The 22,307-nt window shown below is 41.0% G+C and overlaps 1 protein-coding gene and 1 long non-coding RNA gene across 2 annotated transcripts in view, besides 4 other annotated features; one reads left to right on the forward strand and one right to left on the reverse strand.

Annotated features, from left to right (window-relative positions):
* The window catches only part of TESPA1 (thymocyte expressed, positive selection associated 1), a 37,174-nt gene extending 36,784 nt beyond the window's left edge, over window positions 1-390 (reverse strand). Inside the window, exon 1 of the mRNA XM_047429930.1 lies at window positions 209-390. The gene's annotated coding sequence lies outside the window, so the exon portion shown is untranslated. The remainder of the gene's footprint in view (window positions 1-208) is intronic.
* LOC107984515 (uncharacterized) lies at window positions 53-21,082 on the forward strand. The gene is made up of 2 exons (XR_001749161.2): window positions 53-167; window positions 19,764-21,082. It is a non-coding gene; the product is annotated as an uncharacterized LOC107984515 (long non-coding RNA).
* Window positions 6,415-6,604: an enhancer, noted in NCBI's record as "active region_6447". NCBI's record gives its function as "activates an Ori minimal core promoter by ATAC-STARR-seq in GM12878 lymphoblastoid cells {active_cell/tissue: GM12878}" and the evidence as "EXISTENCE:reporter gene assay evidence [ECO:0000049][PMID:35858748]".
* Window positions 7,265-7,314: an enhancer, noted in NCBI's record as "active region_6448". NCBI's record gives its function as "activates an Ori minimal core promoter by ATAC-STARR-seq in GM12878 lymphoblastoid cells {active_cell/tissue: GM12878}" and the evidence as "EXISTENCE:reporter gene assay evidence [ECO:0000049][PMID:35858748]".
* Window positions 16,537-16,586: a silencer, noted in NCBI's record as "silent region_4533". NCBI's record gives its function as "represses an Ori minimal core promoter by ATAC-STARR-seq in GM12878 lymphoblastoid cells {active_cell/tissue: GM12878}" and the evidence as "EXISTENCE:reporter gene assay evidence [ECO:0000049][PMID:35858748]".
* Window positions 16,687-16,876: an enhancer, noted in NCBI's record as "active region_6449". NCBI's record gives its function as "activates an Ori minimal core promoter by ATAC-STARR-seq in GM12878 lymphoblastoid cells {active_cell/tissue: GM12878}" and the evidence as "EXISTENCE:reporter gene assay evidence [ECO:0000049][PMID:35858748]".
* Window positions 21,083-22,307: the final 1,225 nt, after the last annotated feature.

Here is a 22,307-nt window from a genome sequence, read left to right on the forward strand (position 1 = left end):
GCAGTCCCCGCCTCCTGGCCCAGCCACATCCTTTGCTCCGGCTCAGGAGACTGAGCGAAGGACAAACCATCCGTAGACACGGTGCTCACAACTAGGAAGACCTTCCTGCCCCAGAGCTGCCTCTGTCTTTCCAGAAAAACAGGAGATCTTTTCCTATTAAGGCAAAGGTACAGTCCATTTAAAGAGGTGTGTGCAGGAGTCTTCCTACCATATAACTAGAATTCCACTGCTGCAGATAAATCCTTCTGTCCTCAGGAGAGCTGTCTGAAAATGGGAAAGCTCTCTCTCATAAATGATCTGGCGTTTATCTCAGAGAAGAAGTTTCCAGTCGTATCACACACTTGAGAGGGCTCTGAGCCAGTCGCTCTGTGTTGATAACTTTCATACTCTGGTAAATTCCCCCGAAGCTTGTTTTTGAATACTGACTACTTTTTTTTTCTGTTAGTTTCTTAACTTTGTTTTATGTTCAAACCACTTCAAAGTTTTTGTTTTTGTAGTAAATGACTGCTTTCCCCAACGTTTTCAAAGCTGAACTTTTAAAATCGGTTACACCCTGAAGATGTCTTCAGTTTATTGGTTTTCAGTTTGGAAAAGGCTTGTTGAACTCTAAAAGGTTTCTCCCAGGCCTCAATCACTTTCACCCACCGGGAGCATCCAGCACTGCTAACTATCCCTCCTCGCTTCTCCAGTATCTCTGAACACTCTTCTCCGTAGGATGCTGCTGCATTTTGGATATCTTCTTTCTGTCTCTCTCCTGATTCTACTGTTTCCTTCTTTAAATCATTTATTTATGAATGTATATCACAATATTTATTCTACAAGGCACTCCTCTAATGTGTTAATTGTGACTGATTTTCACATGTTCATTACCTTCTTTCTGATTTTTTGGCTATAGGTATAGTTAGATTTTTTTTTTACCATGTTTCTAAATTCCATTTCCAATCATCAATGGGACAACTCCATTGAGTATCCATAGTATAGCTATAATATGGTAGAAATAATCCTAAATAAAATTCTTGCTTGGCAAATTAAGTTCTCAAAACATTATTTTCTTCAAGTATAATGTGAGGAAAATAACAATTCTCTCTGTTTCTCACTCAACCCTTCTCCCACGCTATTCCTTTTACGTAGGCATGAAAATATCTAACATATTTTCTCAGGACATAGTAGATGCTAAATATGTGCTTCTCTGAGAATTAGCTTCACAGTCAACAAGTAAAATGCTAAATCCAACACGCCCTAATTCTCTTTATTTACTATTCTTTTCCGTACAAATTAACTATAAAAGCTGAACTAATGGAAACTTAACAACTCTTTTAAATCCTAAGTTTCTAGAATTCAATGTTTTCCTTAACAGTTGTTTTCCAATATGTTTGGGAAATGGAGAATATAACTTCGGTAGGGAGTTTGGAAATATGTGAGAGAGATTTAATTTTCAAAGAAATGGGAAGCTGATACTGGTATTTAGTACCTGAGGGCCAATGATGATAAGTGCTTTTGAAGGGATGGGACTCTTCAGTATAAGGAATAATTGTCCTGGCCCAAATGTCAACATTTTGTTAACATTGATAGTTTGATGGTTAGGAGAGCAGGCTTTAGAGTGAAGCTCTGGCATCAAGTAGCTCTGTAGTCTTGGATACGTTAACATCTCTAGGTCTCAGTTTGTTAGCTGCTAAATGGGGATAACCTTACAGGAGTGGTTGTAGAGCTATAAGAATAAAGGAATACAGAGTATTCAGTCCAGCGCCTACCTTACAGCAAATGCTCAAGAAATTGCAGCTATTTTTAAGACTCTTGAAATATAATAGTTTCTTTTAACTTTTATTTTAAGTTCAGTGGTACATGTGCAAGTTTGTTACATAGGTAAACTCCTGTCATAGGGGTTTGTTGTACAGATTATTTCATCACCCAGGTATTAAGCCTAGTACCCAATAGGTATTTGTTTTGATCCTCTCCCTCCTTCCACCCTCTACCCTCCCATAGGCCCCAGTGTGTGTTGTTTCCCTCTATGTGTCCATGTGTTCTCATCATTTAGCTCCCACTTATAGGTGAGAACATGCGGTATTTGGTTTTCTGTTCCTGTGTTAGTTTGCTAAGGATAATGGCCTCCAGCTCCATCCATGTTGCTGCAAAGGACATGATCTCATTCTTTTTTATGGCTGCATAGTATTCCATGGTGTATATGTGCCACATTTTCTTTATCCAGTCTATCATCACTGGGCATTTGGGTTGATTCCATGTCTTTGCTATTGTGAATAGTGTTGCAGCAAACATACATGTGCTCGTGTCTTTATAACAGAATGATTTATATTCCTCCAGGTATATACTCGGTAATGGGATTGCTGAGTCTAAAGATATTTCTGTTTTTAGGTCTTTGAGCAATCGCCACATTGTCTTCCACAAGGGTTGAACTAATTTACACTCCCGCCAACAGTGTATAAACATTCCTTTTCCTCTGCCACCTCGCCAACATCTTTTATTTTTTGACTTTTTAATAATAGCCATTCTGAGTAGTGTGAGATGGTATCTCATTGTGGTTTTGATTTGCATGAAATATAATATTTTCAGTTTCTGCAGAATACTATGTCTATCTGTCAAAATTACCTCACTCATTAAAGATACCATTTCACAAGCAATTGCTAGAGATTTTTTTGTTAATAAAAAAGATGTATTAATTTTTGGTTTTTATTTATATTTATTCTTAATTTTTATGAGTACATATGTAGGTTTATATGTTTATAGTATTTGTGATTTATTTTTTGAAAGAAATATTTTTCTCTTCTACAAGCAGCTTCTGAAAGACAAAGATGAAGACTATATGATTCCTAGGAGGAGGAGGCGGCCCAGGGTATTCCTCTGTTTATCTTCTTTCTCAGTTGTATAGTCTTTCTCTTTCTTTCTTTGTTTCTTTCCTTCTTTCCCTTCCTTCCTTCCATTCCTTTTCCTTCCTTCCTTCCTTCCTTCCTTCTTTCCTTCCTTCCCTCCTTTCCTCCTTCCCCTTTCTCTTTTTTCCCTCTCACCTGCCCTTCCCACCCTTTGAAAACATTGTCTCTATATCTTTGGCACCATGAACTTCTCTGAGCATATATTCCAGGTGCTTCATGAAAACAAAATGACTTGTTCTTTTTATACGAGACGCAGTAGTTCAGGGTTTCTGAAGGTTTTTTTGTGAGCTTGTTCATTTTTTTTCCCTTGGTTAAAAATAAAAACCCTTATGCTAACTGAGATAATGAATTAGCTCTCTACTGCCTATGTGATTCAGCAGTTTGGTGCCTCATGATAGGGCCTATTTGTCATTCCATGGCTCCCTCTCTTGTGTTTTATAGAATTTAGTAAAAACCCTGAACTAGGGGTAAAAGAGCAATCTGAGTTTAAAACTATACTAGTTACTTAATTTCACTGGATATCGGTATCACCTTCTGACAGAGAAATATTTTCTAAGATCCTCTTGGCTTTAGATGTCAGTAACACCTGTACAGACTATTTTTCTCTACCCTTTTATAACTGCATGTAGTTTATTATGGAAAATGAAAATATTAAGTGATATTTGGTAAGAAATTATTATAAAGGTATTAGAAAAAGTATTTTGAAAGACTCTTTTCCATTGAAAAGCCAAGTAAATATTGCTTTTGAATAATATTATCCTCTAGACATGTAACCTGATAACACTGATAAATAAGAACAATTTCTGAACACTGATGAGCCCATCAAACAGATGGGCTGTAGTGAGTATAAGTTCTGGAGCTGCAGAACTACAGGCTGAGCTGGCAGGTTGCCCAGACCTGGGGCAGAGCCAGGACAGCTGTCCATAGAGGCTGTCCCAAGACAGAGAAGCTGCTGCTCAGAGCCACTGCTCTGGGCCGAGCAGCTGGGCCCCTCTGCCCAGGCCCAGATGCAAATCATCTGCCTCCATTTCAGCTCTCAACCTTCTTCTTTCTCAGATCCTGGGGTTTGCAAATGCCATTTTTGTTTTGTTTTGTTTGGCTGTTTTGTTTTTTTTGCTAAGAGTCTGTTCCTCCAAATTGCTGATGTGGGAATTTGAGTGACTTTGTCTCCTTCCTGTACCAAAGGCTCAAAAGTAGAAAGAGAGAGTGGATAGAATTGTAGGGGAGAGAGCAGTGATTTAACTCACCAAGGATTTTCTGAACTTTCTCCAGGCAGAAAAGTGTCCACCAAGGTCATCTTGTTCTTTTCTCTGCTTCTATGTTCTGGTTGTTAAGGATACAAACAAATGGGATTCTCTAACTTTTCTAACCTACCCATTCTACTAAATTACTCCACTCAATGCCAGAAAGTTCTTCCTTCTGTCTGGCTGTATCTTCCCTCTGTAAGAGTCCAGCAAAACAGAAGAGCAATCCATCTCAGGCCTCTGCAGAGGGTGTTCTTTCAGTGATCTGGATTGTAATTCTACCCAAAATGTATTTTATTGGATACCTTCTGAGTGTCAGAAATGAGATAGATCTGGGGAAGGGACTGAGGGGAGTATAGAAGGAGAGGAAGATATACAAGGGGGAGAAACAGTATCAAATACTGTCCCTTAGAGGGCTTATTTTCTAGTATGATCAAGTAATTTGGGGAAATACAGGGTTAACAAAAGACAAACATGTTCCTTTAAGGCAGTGGTCCCCAACCTTTTGGCATCAAGGACTGGTTTCATGGAAGACAATTTTTCCATGGGAGCAGGGTGAGGGGGAGGGTTTGGCGATGAAACTGTTCCACTTCAGATGATCATGCCTGCCACTCACCTTCCTGCTGTGAGGCCAGGTTCCTAACAGGCAACCAAACTGTGCTGGTCTGTGGTCCAGGGGTTGAGGCCCCCTGCTTTAAGGCATAACTTCTTGAGGCTTTTAATAGATTAACATGAATTGTGACTCTCCTAGAAGGAGAAAGTTTTGTATTTCCCAAATGTATTGGCCTATGGATTCCCCTGCCCTCCCCTCCCCTCCCCTCTCCTTCCCTACCCTTCCCTTATCTTTCCTTCCTTCCTTGGAACATCCCAAGGAAATTATTTTGGAAAAGTTTTCTTCCACTACAGCCACTTCTCTGGATTAAATCGTGACATTAACATCTTTGATTATATTCAGATGGCTATGAACACAGGATTGAATTCTCAGTGAGCCTATGTTTCATCTTTCTTTTGATCAAGCCCATTTAACTCAGAATCACAGGTCTTAATTGAGTTCTTCTGTGTGATTTGCATGGTGAGTGCTCAGTGTTTTGTAAGCCCATGGAGGAGGACAGAGCCTGGATGTGGGTGTAAGTGCAGTGGAGGAGGAGAGATCTGAGGGTTTCATAGGATGGGAGGCAGGAGACTTTCAGGGCTAGAGAGAGATCTATCAAGAAAAATCTCATGGACTTGACAAACAAGAAATGTGGAAGAGTTTTAAAACTTGATCTCTCTTCCCAAAAGAAAAGAGGGCTTCCAGCAGGGTTCCTCCCTACACCTGGGACCTGGTACAAAGTAAACACTTATAGCAACGGTATAATTATTGATGGGGAAAGAAAGAAGAGGAGGAGTGAAAAGCAGTCAAAATTTTTAGATGATAGAGGATTTAAGGTGGGTTGAGCTATTACCTTAGTATGTTCATCTGCTACAACAGAGAAAATCCCATAAAATGGGTGATTTACAAACAACAGTAATTTATTTCTGGCAGTTCTGGAGAGAAGTCCAAAATCAAGGTGCTGGCGGATTTGGTGTCTGGTGAGAGCCTACTTCCTAAGTCATAGATACCTGTCTTCTCACTGTGTCCTCATGTGATGGGAAGGGAGAGCTAGCTCTCTGGGGTCTCTCTTATAAGGCCCTAATCCTGATCGTGAGGGCTCTGCTCTCCTGACCTAATCATTTCACCAAAATGCCACCTCATGATACCATCACCTTGGGGGTTAAAGTTTCAACATATGAATTTGGGGGGCTGGCATGAACATTCAGACTATAGCAACCTTGGAGAAACCATGAAGGGAGCATCAGGGGTTAGTGACTTCATGGATTTGGGGAACATTTAAAACCAGGTTCTTCAGACCCAACATTCTAAAGCCTTGAAAAGGATAGGCATCAAAAGACACAATAGCAGGTAAAATTCGGGCGTTGTTGTAGATTTGGTATAAGGGAAGAATAGGTAGGGTGAATGAATATGGGGTTAGAGATTAGAGGTAGAACATGAAAACATGGGTTATTGTGAGAAAGGGGCAGGAGGTCACAGATTGGAGGAAGGGGCAGATTTTTTTTTAAGAGCCTAGGTTCTTCTCTCACCTCCACAAAGGGGAGGCGCTGAAGTCTGAGGCCACTCTACCAAAGTCAGACTGCACTCGCTGTCCACAGGAGACTGGAGACCCTGGTGCGCGGTGGACACAGGTCAAAGCAGAAGAGGGTGTGGGGCAGAACCCAGCAATGAACTGCAGAACGATAGACCAAGGTTTCTGGAAAGATGTTAAGTGTTTCCTCAGTGTAGTGTCAGTTAATCAGAGGAAATGGGACAACTGCGGCCTTCTGATCAGAGGGATATCTGCAGGTGGCGAGATGGTCCATGTGGCACCCCAGAGTATGTTCCGCGCGCGCAGGAGTGTCAGATCCAAGGAGAGTTCTCTCTGTTAGGTTTGAGAAAGAGTAGGAGGAAGAGGTGGAGGAGGAAAAGAGAGAAGAGACACTGAATCAGAGAGAAGCAGAGAGAGAATCTGAGGGAAATGATTTACATGCAAGAGAAAGTGAAACTGAAGTGTAACCACCCACCCAAACTGCAAAAGGCAACTTCTCTTGTCCACCCACTGGAGGAAACATCTCATCTTTCTCAGGCACCTGGCCTGGCAACACTCATCCTGCTCCCATAGCCTGTCCTGCCTCCCTTAGAAGGTAGGAACAACTGAGAAAGTGGGAGTGAAGGAGATTTAAATGACTTAAAGTGCTCCACAGCTACATATTATAATTTTCCCTATACTTACACTGAACCTGTCCCTTTTGACCTATGCGTTAAGGAGTGAGAAGTAAAAAATCCTGTCCTTTAGGCCTTACTCTGCTTCTTTTCTGGGTTTCAGAGTCCTTAAATGTAAAATGAGGAAGTAAAAATAAACTGTCTTTAGGGTTCTTCCCAGTGTAATGTTTTATATTTCTAATAATACTATCATTTAATGAGTGAATACTCTGCGAAAAATGACTAATATATCTTAACTTGAATCCTGAAAACAATCTCAAAAGTGGATATTGTGATCCATAGATGAATTAAGTAAGATTGTGTCTCTTTCTGACTTTTCCCACCCTGCAAACCTCTGTCTTCACAGATGAACCCCCAACCTGTTACACAGTCATACATCACTTAGTGACGGGGACATGCTCTGAGAAATGCGTCCTTGTGTGAACATCATAGAGTGCATTTACACAAACCCGGATGGTATAGCCTACTGCACGCCTTGGCTATATGATGCAATCTATTCCTCCTCGGCTTCAAATCTGGACAGCATGTTACTGTACTGAATGCTGTAGGCAATTGGAACACAGTGGGAAGTGTTTGTAGCTCTTAACACATCTTAACATAGAAACAGTACAATAAAAATATAGTATAAGAGATAAAAAATGGTACACCTGTATAGGACACTTACCATGAATGTGGCTTGTAGAACTCGAAGTTGCTCTGGGTGAGTGAGTGAGTGGGTGCAGGTGACCGTGAAGGCCTAGGACATTACTGTACATCACTGTAGACTCTATAAACACTGGACACTTAAGCTACACTAAACTTACTTAAAAATATTTTTCTCTCTTCATTAATAAATTAACCTTAACTTACTGTAATTTTTTTATTTTATACAATTTTAAATTTTTGACTTTTTTGTTAATAACACTTAGCTGAAAACACACATTGTACAGCTGTACAAAAATATTTTATTTATATCCTTATTTGATAAGCTTTTTTAATTTTTAAATTATTTTATTTTACTTTTTAAACTTTTTAAAAAAATTATGACACAAATACACACATTACTTTTGGCCCACACAGGGTCAAGATAATCAATATCACTGGCTTGCACCTCCACATCTTATCCCACTGGAAGGTCTTCAGGGGCATGGAGCTGTCATCTCCCTATGAGGACGATGCCTTCTGGAAGAGGTCCTGAAGGACCTGCCTAAGGCTGCTTTACAGTTCACTTTTTAAACAAGTAGAAGTAGTGCACTGTAAGACAACAATAAAAAGTATAGTGCAGTAAACACATAAACTACATAAACTATACATAACTATACATAAACTATACATAAAAGTATAGTGCAGTTTAGTATATGTATAGGTACAGAGCACTATACATAAAAGTATAATGCAGTAAATACATAAACTACATACAAAAACTGTTACTCCAGTAACAGTTGTTTATTATCATTATTAAATATGTACTATACGTAGATGTATGTACTCTACTTTTATATGACTGGCACGCAGTGTTTGTTTACACGAGCAATCAACACAAACATGCAAGTAAACGTGAGTAATGCATTGTGCTACCACATTACCATGGCTACGACGTCACTAGGTGATAGGAATTTTCCAGCTCCATTATAATCTTACGAGACTGTGGTATATGCGGTCCATCCTTGATCAGAATATTGTTATGCAGCTCAAGACTGTACTCCTAATGACCACCAGGTGGCAGCCTATACCCATTCTTTAATCTCACAGTTACATAGGTGGAAATCTCAGATTAGCCCACTGCCCAGGAGGTTGTCTAACCCAGACTGATGAATTAACCCAATTATGGAGTATCTGGACAACCCCTGTTTGTCTGATTTGTATCACAGGAGATTGAACGAATTTAGGAGCTGAATAAGCAATCGAAGATTTCTTCCTTTTATTTTTTTGGATTTCTTTTTCGTCTTTGGAGACAGGGTCTCCCCAGGGCCCAGGCTGGAGTGCAGTGGCACAGTGATGGCTCACTGCTGCTTCGACCTCCTGGGCTCCAAAGATCTTCCAACCTCAGCCTCTCGAGTAGCTGGGACTAGGCACCACCACCATGCCTGGCTAATTTTTTTGTAGAGACAGGATCTTACTTAGTTGCCCAGGCTGGTCTCAAACTCCTGGGCTCAAGCAATTCTCCCCCCTCAGCCTCCCAAAGTGCTGGGATTACAGGTATGAACTACCACCATGCCCGGCCAGATTGCTCATTTTAAATTAAACAGTTTTCAGGGTTGAATAGAATTTCAAAAGGTTAAGGAGTAAAAAGTAGTCTGTACTCACAGAGAGATTTGAGTGAGCATAAATACCAAGATGGAAAAGTATAGGGTATGTTTGGGAAAAATCAAGTAGCTCAGCATGGCTATACTGTGAGTTGTGTTATGAGAAAGAGTGAGTGGAACCTAAGATAATTAACCTAAATTAAGTTTAGATCTAAGAAATCTTGAATACCATATTTTGGGTTATGAAATTTGTTTTAACTTTAACAGTTTTCCTTTGAAATAGAGAACTTCTGTACACCTGTCACTCTGACTTAAAATTGTTAATATTTTGCTTTATTATAATGTATTTTTTCCCAACATTTTGAGAATCAGTTGTAGATATTATGCCCCTTTGCCTCTTAAAATTAAAGACAATAATTTTCATAACTATAGTATAATTATCAAAATTTTAAAAATAACATTGATACAATCATCTAGTTTACAGACTTTATTGTTTTCCAAATAATATGTAGGATCACACACTGCATATAGTTTTCATGTCTCTTTTGTCTCCTTAAATCTGAAATTCTTTCTCTACTTTTCTTTATCTTTCATGGAAATTGAATTTTTTTCCTTTCCAATTTTTGTTTTAGGTTCAGGGGTACATGTTACATGGGTAAATTGGGTGTTGCGGGGTTTGCTGTACACATTCTTTCATCACCCAGGTAATGAGCATAGTACCTAATGGGTAGTTTTCTGATCCTCACCCTCCTCCCACTCATTACCCTCAAGTAGACCCAAAGTTGCTTCCTGCTTTGTGTCCATGGTGTACTTGATGTTGATATTTTTAAAGAGTATAGTCCTTCTATTCTGTAGAGCATCTCTCAATTTGATTTGTCTGCAGTTCATGTGATTCAATCTGCGTTAGACAATTTTGTCAGGATTACTACATGTGATGATGTCTCCCCAGTGCATCACATCAGGAAGTATGTAGTATCAGTTTTCCTATTATTGGTAATATAATGTGGTATTCTTTTTTTCCACTGTAAATTTATAATTTTCCTTTTTAAATTAAAAAGTACTTTTAAATATTTTCAAACTATGTCAATATCCTATTCCTTATTAAGCTTTCAACTCTCACCTACTAGTTTTGGTATTTTATCTTCTTAAGAGTTGGGAGTCATCAAAAATATATTGAGCTGGATAGGATAAAATCAGAACCATGTTTAGAAATGTCACCCTAGAAACTGTGAGTGTGTGATTTTACTATCTTCAACTCTGACACATTGTAGACCTTCCTTTTTTTTTTTTTTTTTTTTTTGGTTTGTTTTATTTTTTGAGATGGAATCTCGCTCTGGCTCCTAGGCTAGAGTACAGTGGTGCGATCTCAGCTCACTGCAACCTGTGCTTCCTGGGTTCAAGCAAATCTCCTGCCTCAGCCTTCCGAGTAGCTGGGATTACAGGCGCCTGCCACCACACCCAACTAATTTTTGTATTTTTAGTAGAAACGGGGTCTCACCATGTTGGCCAGGCTGGTCTCGAACTCCTGACCTCAAGTGATCTGTCCGCCTCAGCCTCTCAAAGTGCTGGGATTACAGGTGTGAGCCACCGCACCCAGCCTAGGCCTTCCTTTTGTCTGGGACTCTGGTACCCAAGTTCTGACCTGCTCCAGGTAATCTTTTAACCTTGAGTCTAGCACATACGAATCTTGGTAGATTGGTGATGTCCTCCTATCAGGCCAGTGCAGCCCAGGCTCAGATCACACATTTTGGATGGATTTGTTCCTTTGGGCAGATTCCCTTGTGCAAGGAACAACCAGCACAATCATAAGTGCAGAGACCTAACAGCTCTGGATTAAATTTGGAAAACATTAGAATATGGGAGAAAAGAAACATACATTAAGCTCTTCCAACTCACCCATCTCTCTTCTGGTTGTTTCTCTGTACATCCTCTCGTGTAAATCTCACAGCAACCCTTCAAGGCAGGCACTAGCATTCCAATTATACAGATGAAGAAACTGAGGTTCAGGAGTCTCTGTAGAAGGCCACGATTTAAAGCTTGATGTCTCTGATTCTGAAACCTATATGCATTATATACGCTACTTTATAATCCATTGATTGCAGTGACAATACTAACATTGGCTTGTCACTGACATACCAGCTTTTTAAATACACATTTTCCTCACATTCTCATGACAAGTTGTGGGAAATGGAGAGCAGATGCCAATTGTCTCATTTGACAGATGAAAATCAATGCCCACACAGCTAGTGGGAAAATCAAGCCTTTTGACTTTTAGTCAAGAGATCTGTGTAATTTTATCATGTGCCCTTTTAGGGCACGTGTGGATTTAGAGGAGTGAGGGAGAAGAGATAAGGAGAGAAATCTGTAGGGGTGGAGGACATCAGCAGGAGGAAATCTGTACAATCAAGATGGTTTCCTGAACGTGAGCTGTGGGGCTGCCCAGTGATGCCCGCAGGCTTCAGGATGCAGGACACATCTGCACCCCTGGTTCCTCTTGCCAGAGCCCAGGAGATTGGCAGGAACCCTAGGGAAGACCCAGTTCTGGGTGCAGGGCAGATGCTGAGCAGCTGAGCAAGCAGAACTCTGCAGGCGGGCGTTGGGGGTTCTCCTCTAGCTAACTTGGGTTTCCAGAGGCCTGAGAGCACAGCTTCCATATCTTCCTCCTTTGGGAGGAGGAAAGCTGGCTTCTCTTGCCTCTGACTCCCAGTGGTTCTCAAGGCCCCAGTGGGAGGTATTTGCCTGGGAAAAACAGAGCTGAAAGAGCAACAGAACCTCAAAGTATGAAGGAAAAGGAGAAACTGGCTTCTCCTCTGCTTTTTCTTAGAAGACAAGAGGCAGTTAGGGTAGGGCCAGAATGATTTTGCGAGTCCTTGAAGGGGAGAGGAAAGGTTAAAAGCCACAGGGAAAATTAACTCTGAGGGTAAAGAAAAGGATCCCCAGTGTATCCCTACATGTCTACCTACTCTCTGCAATAACAGACAGACATCTGAGTGGGACTGGCTTATGTTTGTCATAAAGAAAGATTTCTATGGATCTCCAAGATTTTCTGACAACGGGAGGGATGCGATGATGCCTGGAGGGGCCGTGTGTTCCATAGGGAGGCAGTGACTAGAGAATGGCCTGTCTGGGTTTGACTCCCTGCTCTGTCATTAACCTGCTATTTGAATTTGGGCAAGTTACACATCCTTGAAGCCTTCGCCTTCTCATGTAACACGAGACGATCATAGTGGCGACCTCAAAGTGATGTGCAAGTGAAATGAGGGAGTATGTAAAGCTTAGTATATCATCTAGTACTTAAGAAAGGAGCAGAGACTTTAGCTGTTGTCACATTTGTCACTTACAGTGAAAGAGCATTGGGTTGAGGGTGAGGAAACCTGGTTTCTATTTGTTTCTTTCTGTATATCCAGCTCTTTCCTCGGCAAACAATATCTTCTTCTTTTCCCCCATATGTCCTCTGGTAAAGAGACAGTATTGCATAAGATCCAAATTCTATTTTAACTTCTGATAGTAACTCACATTTTGAGCAAATGCAAATTACTTTACCACTCTGAGCCTCAGTTTCCCCATATATAAATGGAGAGGATAATAGCTATTTGGAGTTGTGGATTATTAGCACAGTGTTTAGAGTCAGACAAGCCTGGATTTGAATCATACCTTCAAAACTTACTAGCTATGTGACTGTGGGCATTTTACTTAAAGTCTCTGAGCCTCAGTTTCCTCAATTGTTACATGAGGATTATAACACCTAACACTTTTGTTGAGCTTGGCAAGGACTACTTAAGACAGTAAGTGTAAGCTGCTTAACCTAGAGCCCAGCTGAAAGTAAGTACCCTGGCAGCAAATTTGTACCTGGTAGCTTTCCTGTATGAACGAATGAAATCACCTAAGAAGTATTCTTTTAATCACATCTCTTCTGCCTGAAACAAAAAGGAGATAATACATGTGCAAATTTCATGTCTTCATTCTGCTTCCCCCATTTAGATTGATCCTCTGAAAAAGTATCTAAGGATATTTGTCCCAAATTCAGCCATAACCTGCTCCAACATCCCCCATCTATTCCCTCCAGGGTAACTCACAAAGCCCATCCATCAACTCTCAAGCTCACCTTTGTCATGCAGAGTGGACCAGCCTGGAGCTACGAATCCCCCTCCCCCAACACCCAACATCCCAACACACACACACACACATATATATACTGCACACTAATTTCTCAAAAGCCAAATTAAAGTCACCGTCCATCCACTGCCAGAAGCCCCTTTCCTCTTCCTTACTCCCAAAGGAATCCTCGCCCTCCATAGACATCACCCTCCCCCCAGCTCCATCCTCTATCACAGACACACACTGGTCACCATCCCACTTCTCCTCCCCTTCTCTATTGCTCAGTAATTATATTCTCCGCCTCCCAGTGTCATGCTAATATAAGCTCCTGGCACAGCTGCCCAGATTAAATTAGAGCCCAAACCAGCAGGCTGACTAATTATATTTTCTGGGATGGAATTGTCTTCCCCCACCTTTGGGGTACAGGGCCAATAAAAAGTAAATGAGCACTGCCAATATTTGCAGAGGATATTTGACTCTTCTTGCCTGGGTGGTTTTGTCTTCCCCAACCAATCTGGGCCCTTGAATTAGATTACACCAGAATGGGAGAAGAGAGTTTTACTCAAATGACCCTTCTAAGTCCCATCCATTGTCCTGCAGGTCAGCTCAGCTGGGCCTGACCACCACCATCAGGCCAAGGAAGAGAACATAGCATGAAACTCTTTCTCGTGAATGAGACTCTTCTGCTACCTTTGTGAGTCCCTCCCTTGTTCCCAGCACCAAAATCTTTCCTTCAGATACTCACTGCAACCTGTCCTGAAATGATTGTTGCTGAATTCTTTTTACTTCTGTCTCATGTGAAAAAGAGTGTTGCTTCCCTTACAGAACACTGTTTCAAGGCTGATTCTTCAACTTTTACCTTTCCTTATTTATGGCTGGAACAACATAAAAGTTTCAATTGTGAAAAGAAATATTTTAGACAAGTTAAGTTTAACAGAGTTTAATAGATTTTTTAATTAAATTTCTTTTTCTTTTTGCAGAGACAGGGTCTTGCTATCTTGTCCAGGCTGGTCTCAAAATCCTGGGCTCAAGCAATGCTCCTCCTTTGACCTCTCAAAATGCTGGAATTACAGGTGTGTGGCATTGTGCTGGCCAACAGAGTTTAATTGAACAAGAAAAAAAAAGATTCATGAATTGGGCAGCCCCCAGAATCACAGCAGATTCAGAGAGGCTCCAGGGATGCCTGGCGGTCAGAGTGAGTTTATGGACCAAAAAAGGAAAGTGATTTACATAAAACGGAAGTGATGTACGGAAATAGCTAGGCTGGTTACAGCTTGGCATTTTGCCTTACTTAAACATGGTTTAAACAACAGCCTGTGAATGGCTGGAGTATGGCTACTGGGATTGGCTGAGACTCAGCTTTTGTTACAGAAGTATACTCCTCAGTTAGATTTCCACCCTGCCTACCTACTAAGTTCGGTTATGGTTCATCCATAAGGACTTAAGTATGAAAGTACGGAAGCTTTCCAAGCCCAGGTTTTAGTTTGATGTAAAACAATTTCCCTAGAGACAAGGTTTACTTAATTTCTTGATTCCACAAACATTTATTGCTCACTTGCCATATGCCACATACTGAGATGGGTATTGAAACATGTAAAGGCATAATTCTTGCCTTCAGAAAGATCAGGACCTCATGATGGGTCTAAATGTGTGTAGATGTGCAGAAATCAAGAAATCTGTGCAAGGCGCAGTGGCAACACAAGAGGCTTGCAATAAGAATCAGAAAAGGCATCAATGACGAGGTGATTCTTGGTGAGGTTTTGAAAAATTGTTCAGAAGGCCAATAAAATAAGGATAGGAATTCTGGGTAGAGAGAGAAAAGATATAGGGACAAGAAAGTCATAGCAATTTCATGACCTGCACGCATAAAGGATAAGACGAAAGGAGTAGCCAGAGATGGCCTTGAACAGCTGACGGATGTTTTACTTCTGGAGTTTTCTGGACCCCAAATTCATGTCCTCCTAACTGAGGGAGAGCAGATCTGCCTCTTAAAGGTCTGGGCAACCCCCGTTAGGGCCCTTTCTTTTGCCACCAACTTTCCTCTCAAATTTGCCTACAATGATCCCTCCCACAAATAATTGTTCCATTTTTGTGTGACTACTTCCTTTGGAAGTGCATTTAAGGAAGAATCTGATATTTCAAAGCATTGAAGGAAAAATTTCTGGTAGTAGAATTTCTAAAAACAAAAGAAAACCTCTGACTGGATCTCTGATGTTCTTCCATATACTCAGCAACCTTCTCTGCCTCTTTATTCATTCATTTGATCATTTAGTGCCAAGTTTTCAGCACCTTACCAAGCACTGCTCTAGAGATGATCCAGGGTAGAAGAAAAGGAGAGTCTTTCCCCTGCAGGAACTCAGTCTAGAGAAAGAGAGACAGATGCATAGATAATTAGAAGTTGCAATGAGAGCTCAGAGGAGGGGCATTGTGTTTGTTTCCAGTCACTGCCATTAACAAAGTACTGGAAATTGAGTGGTGTTTATTGTAGGGTAGCAGCCTGAAATCAAGGTATCAGCTGGCCACATTCCATGAAGCTTATAGGGGAATTCTCCCTTGTCTTCTCCTAGATTCTGGTGGTGTGCCGGCAATCTTTGGCATTCCTACTCCTGTAGATGCAATACTCCAAATCTCTGTCTTCACATGGAGTTCTTTGTGTGTGTTTTTGTCTTCACATAGTCACCTCCTTTTTTTTTTTTTTAAGATGGAGTCTCACTCTGTTGCCCAAGCTGGAGTGCAAAGGTGCCATCTCAGCTCACTGCAACCTCTGCCTCCCGGGTTCAAGCGATTCTCCTGCCTCAGCCTCCTGAGTAGCTGGGATTACAGGCCCGCGCTACCACACCCTGCTAATTTTTGTATTTTTAGTAGAGATGTGGTTTCACCATTTTGGTCAGGCTGGTTTCAAACTCCTGACCTTGTGATCTGCCTGTCTCGCCCTCCCAAAGTGCTGGGATTACAGGCATGAGCCACCACACCCGGCTCATAGTCGCCTTCTTATAAGGACAACAGTCATATTGGATTAGGGTCCACCCCGCTCAAGTATAACTTCACCATCATTTAACTAATTACACCTGCCATCGCCCAGTTTCCTAATAAGGTCACATTCTGAGGTTCTCATTAGGATTTCAAAGTATCTTTTTTGGGGGAAACACAATTCCACTTGTAATGGGCACCTAATTTTTCATAGGTGTATCAAGAATATTCTTAGAAGCAGGAATGATTGAAGTAAGTGTTTATTCCAGAGAGTCAAGTAAAAATGAACTAAAACAGTGATTTAGAGAGAAATGGTCCCATGGAGGAAATGACATGAGAAGAGACACGTGAGTGTATAGAAAAGGCACAAATAGACCAGGGCAGCGTGAAGAACTTCCTGTAGCTGTAGTATACAGTATTCAAAAACAAAGTGGTGAATGTTGGGATGTGAGAAAGGCATGCAGATCAGATAGTTACGGGCTTGGTAGCTGTTTTATCCTGGTATCAGTTGAGACCATTTCTTACTTATGGACTTGGGATTTACTGCCCTGACACCACTGAAAAGCAGGAGGCTGAGCAGTTAGTAAGTGTGATGTGGGAAAGGGGAAGTGGGAGACAGCTCTGTCCTCAGCAGCTGCAGTGGTCCCCCTGCTCCCCTCCTTCCCTTCCAGAGTAGGCACAGCCATCATCACTGGACTTTCCTGTGAAATGTAAATCCCATCAGAAAGAGACTCTGTTGTATTCATCCATATATTCTCAGCACAACAGCTGGCCCAGTGTACACACTGAATTTAGATTGGTCGAATGAATGAATAGATGGAAAAGTACATTTAGCTCAGCAAGACCCTGAGCAGGCCCTGCTGACCAAGTAATGCACCTAGGCGGATGCCATTTACGCATCCTGGTGCCTGCTTTACTTCTCTTTGCTTCTCTGTCTTTAAGATTCCATCAGGGAAGGTCTTTCAAGTGATAAAGAAAGACTCGCAGAAGTCTCTAGTAATCTGTGTTTACTACAAGGCTATGTGGGGAAGTGAAATAGTACGGGAGTATACAGCAACAGAAGCCTGATTATTCCGAGTCCCAGGGATGCCAGGATGGTGAGCACAGAGAGGGAGAATGAGATAACTAAGGCACCAACCTGGACTCAAACTCACTTTCTGTGTATACTTAATATTGTTACTTCCCAAGAGAGGATCTGCTAAGTTCCTCTCACCAACATCCAAAATGAAGCATTTCTACTGGCGAAAGTTTTGTCTTTGGCCTCTTCAGAGGGGTTTGGTCTCTACGTCAAAGCTACACAAGGTCTTCTCTGACCCTTAGCCCAGTCAGCTACACTGTTGGGCTTTAATTTTTACACAACACCTATATTATAATTTTAGAGAGAATGAACCACTGTTCTCAGAAAGGGACAGTAGACCAAACAACTTATTTTAAGACCTCTCTTCAGAATAAACCACTGACTGTATCAGCATGATATAGGTCTGGAATTCCGTAGCCCGTGAGAATTTTTACACTTCCTAAACACATGCCTTATATGGACATATTTCTGTCTTTCATGCTGTCTTTCAAGCATTTCCTCACTCAGTTATCTGTCTCCCCAACCACTCTGAGCAATGAGAAGATTATGAACCTTGCAGTCAGGCAGACAAGGGTTAGAGTCCTGCCATGGCATTTAATAAGTTTGCACATTGGGTGATTAATGTTCCTCTTAGCTCCTCAGTGTCCTTATCTGTTGTAAAAGATGCAATAGGCCGGGCGCAGTGGCTCATGCCTGTAATTCCAGCACTTTGGGAGGCTGAGGCAGGCGGATCATGAAGTCAGGAGATCGAGACCTTCCTGGCTAACACGGTGAAACCCCGTCTCTACTAAAAATACAAAAAATTAGCCGGGTGGGGTGGCACCTGTAATCCTAGCTAATCGGGAGGCTAAGGCAGGAGAATCTCTTGAACCCAGGAGGCGGAAGTTGCAGTGAGCTGAGATCGCGCTGCTGCACTCCAGCCTTGGCGACAGAGTGAGACTCCATCTTAAAAAAAAAATGCAATAATGTTTCTTCATAATTTATATTGAGTATTAAATTAGAAAATGGTGTGAAATTAGCTGAAGACATGCCAATTTTCTTTCTCATTTCCTTAAGGGCAAAGATAATTTGTCGGAGTTCTTTGTAAGCATTTTCCTAGGACCCGTATCAGAGCAGGCACACGGTTTGCTTATTGATGGACTAAATCAGTTTGAACATATGTCTGAAAGAACATAGCTTACAAGGCATAACAAACATTATAGCTACCGACAACAATGAGTCTGGGTCTGAAGTTCAAAATTGTAAGTGTTCCCGGCCGGGCGCGGTGGCTCATGCCTGTAATCCCAGCACTTCGGGAGGCCGAGACGGGTGGATCACGAGGTCAGGAGATCGAGACCATCCTGGCTAACACGGTGAAACCCCGTTTCTACTAAAAAATACAAAAAATACAAAAAATTAGCTGGGCTTGCTGGCGGGCGCCTGTAGTCCCAGCTACTCGGGAGGCTGAGGTGGGAGAATGGGGGGAACCCGGGAGGCGGAGCTTGCAGTGAGCCGAGATCGCACCACTGCACTCCAGCCTGGGCGACAGAGTGAGACTCCATCTCAAAAAAAAAAAAAAAAAAAAAAAAATCCTGTAACTGGCGCTGCTTTCAGAATACGGGAAAGGAACGTATAATTTGTTTCTTGCCTAATTTTGAAAATGCTGCAGAGCCTGAGCGGTTTACTAGACCTGCTCCCTCATTAGCAGTTCCTCGTGTCCCTTTGCTGCTTTTTATGGCCAATTTTTTCTGTACTTGTATCCACCCAACCAAAGGATGAGTTATTCAAGAGCAAGGTATGGAGAGGAGTAGAGAGGATTGGAGGGGAGGAAATCATCCAGGAGAAGGAAGAGAGCTGATGGGAGAAGAGAGGCGGATTCTAGACAAAGACAGAGAAGGCAGAGTTCTACATCTTTTTTCTCATTTTAAGCCATTCTCCTTTCTCTTTTTTGCAGACTGACTCTTCAAATAAATTATTTGACCTTCCGCTATGTCCTCTTGCCAGCATGTATATTCTATAACACATTTAATTCAATCGTTTCTACAGTGTCTTAAGCATTTTAAAGTCATAAGCTCCTTGAGGCATAGGACAAAGATATTTGTTTTGAGTAAAGAATTCTCAACAATAACTTCTCCCTGGAAAAGAGAAAAGGATTTCTTTCATAATAGGAGGGATCTAGGACAAGCTGAAACCAAGGTAGAACATCTGACTGTTAAGTGTCAGGAGATTTTTTCCTAAGAACAGCTGTGAAATTTAATTTTCAAGTTTGGATTTAAACATAAACAACATCGTTCAATTGGAAAGAAACTCATTAGTCCAATTCCTCCACTAGATCCCCAGTGCCTGGAGCAATGCCTGGGAATCATAAATACTTTGTAAACATTTCTGCAATGATGTCAGGTTGTCACATCAATAATGTGGGGATTGTCGAGATAACCAGAGTTCTGCTCAACATACGTAGTAAGTGTACTGTGTTTTGTGTTGCAGAGACTACACTGAGGAGTATGACAAGTTTTCAGCTTGAGAAGGGCTTGCATTCTGTAGGAGAAATGAACAAACAGCATTAATGTTGATGATGCAACATGGAACAAGTGCTATGACAGAGATTAAAAAACAAGTGCTTGTTCATTTACTGGAAAGACAGAAGACCGATTCAGCCTGGAAAGAAAAATCCCTGAGAAGATGGTATGGACTAAACAAATAAATGGGATTTTAACAAATAAAGAATAAAAATTATTTTATTTTATAAAGGGAGGCACAATAATCTAATCTGAATATGATTTGGATGTGAGTAAGGGTTGCAGGAGGTGAGTAAGGGTTGCAGGAGATGAGGGAGGGAGTATGTAGATATCTGGGGTAAAAGCATTTCTGGCTGAGAAGACAGCAAGTGCAAATGCCCTGAGACAGGATCAGGGCTTTTGAGGAATCACAAAAAAACCCAATGATCTTGGAATAGAATGTGCAAGCCAAAGTGGGTCCAAGACCAGATCAGAGTGATGGGAAGCGGAGGGGGGCAGAATATGTAGAGCCTGGGATGTCATTGTAAGAACCTGGGCTTTTACTCTGAGTAAAATATGAAGTCATTAGAACTTTTGGAACTAAAAAGGGGCAGAACTGTCTCTCTCACTGCTGTGTTGAGAATAGAATGAAAGGATCAAGGACATAAGTCGGAAGACCAGTCAGGAGACTATGGCGGTATTCCAGGTAAAACATGATGTGTCTCAGACAAGGGTGGTGGCAAAACTAGTGGGATTCTTAAATTTTGGATGTGGGATCAATAAAAATGTGTTGATGGATTGGAAGCATAAGAGAAAGGGCACCCAGGAATGACCTTAAGTTCTTGGCCTGAGCAACGGGGGAAAGGAGGTTGCCAATAATAACTGAGAACCTGAAGCTTGGAGGAGGAGTGATACAGGGGACGAGCAGGAGCTCAGCTATAGACACGCTAAATTTGAGATACGTTTTAGTCATTGTTTGGTGATATCAGGTTGGCAATTGGATGTACTGGTCTAGAGTCCAGGGTGGGGTCTGGGCTGAAAATGCATACTTGGACATCATCAATTTTTGACAAGATGGCTTTAGAGCATCATAATACACATTTAGTTGATTGTAGAAGGAATATAGAATTGTGATGCCAAAGTTTGTGGCTTGCTCCACCATGATGAATTGCTTTCTAAATGATTTTAATGTTCTCTGTGTTATAATGATGTGGAATGTTTATTGGAATTGCACATTTGACCGTTAACTTACTTAAAGTGGTAAAACATTTTTACTCTAAAAATAAAAAATTAAAACAATCACACATAGCCTACTGCCTAAGTGATAATCATTGCTAAAAGTCTGCTATATTTCTTTCCCATCTTTTTTCTTTGAGTGTTTCTAAATGTGAATTTTCTAAAAAGTCTAACAAAATAAGTTGTTGATAAGACAAAGCTGAGTTTTCTTTTTTTCATCAACTTTTATTTTAAGTTGCGGGGTACATGTGCAGGATGTGCAGGTTTCTTACATAGGTAAACTTGTGCCATAGTGATTTGCTGCACAGATCAACCCATCACCTAAGTATCAAGCCCAATAGGCATTACCTATCCTTCCTGATGCTCTTCCCCTACCCTGACAGGCCCTAGTGTATGTTGTTCCCTGCAGTGTGTCCACATGTTCTCATCTTTCAGCTCCCACTTATATGTGAGAACATGTGGTGTTTGGTTCTCTATTCCTGCATTGGTTTGCTGAGGATAATGTCTTCCAGCACCACCCTTGCCCTTGCAAAGGACATGATCTCATTCTTTTTTATGGCTGCATAGTATTCCATGGTGTACATGTACTACATTTTCTTTATCCAGTCTATCATTGCTGGGCATTTGGGTTAATTCCATGTCTTTGCTATTGTGAATAGTGCTGCAATGAGCATACCTATGCATGTATCTTTATAATAGAATGATTTACATTCCTTTGGGTATATACCCAGTAATGGGATTATTGTGTCAAATGGTATTTCTGCTTCTAGATCTTTGAGGAATCACCAGACTGTCTTCCACAATGGTTGAACTAATTTACATTCCCACCAACAGTGTAAAAGCATTCTTATTTCACTGCAACCTCACCAGTATCTGTTATTTCTTGACTTTTTAATAATTGCCATTATTGCTGACATGAGATGGTATCTCATTGTGGTTTTGATTTGCATTTCTCTAATGATCAGTGATGTTGAGCTTTTTTCACGTTTGTTGGCCACATGAATATACAAAGCTGAGTTTTTTGCTGGCAAGAGAGATCACTATCTTGTTAGAGTTTTAATATTATTTTTTATGAAGAGAAGGAGGAGTCAAGATATTTATAAGGTTTGCAGGCATAGTTTAAGAAGGAGCTTTCAATGTGAGGAATGAATAGAGCTGAGTAAGAATTACAATATAATACTTTAGAATAGGGAGAGGAAGCAAGATAAGAGTTATGAGGTGAGAATTTTGAAGGATCTTGGATGGTAAACAGTCATTTGATGTTCATTTAATCTTTTTTTGTGAATTCCGAAAAAAA

This window comes from Homo sapiens, chromosome 12, assembly GCF_000001405.40.
Source record: "Homo sapiens chromosome 12, GRCh38.p14 Primary Assembly".
NCBI classification, from domain to species: Eukaryota; Metazoa; Chordata; class Mammalia; order Primates; family Hominidae; genus Homo; species Homo sapiens.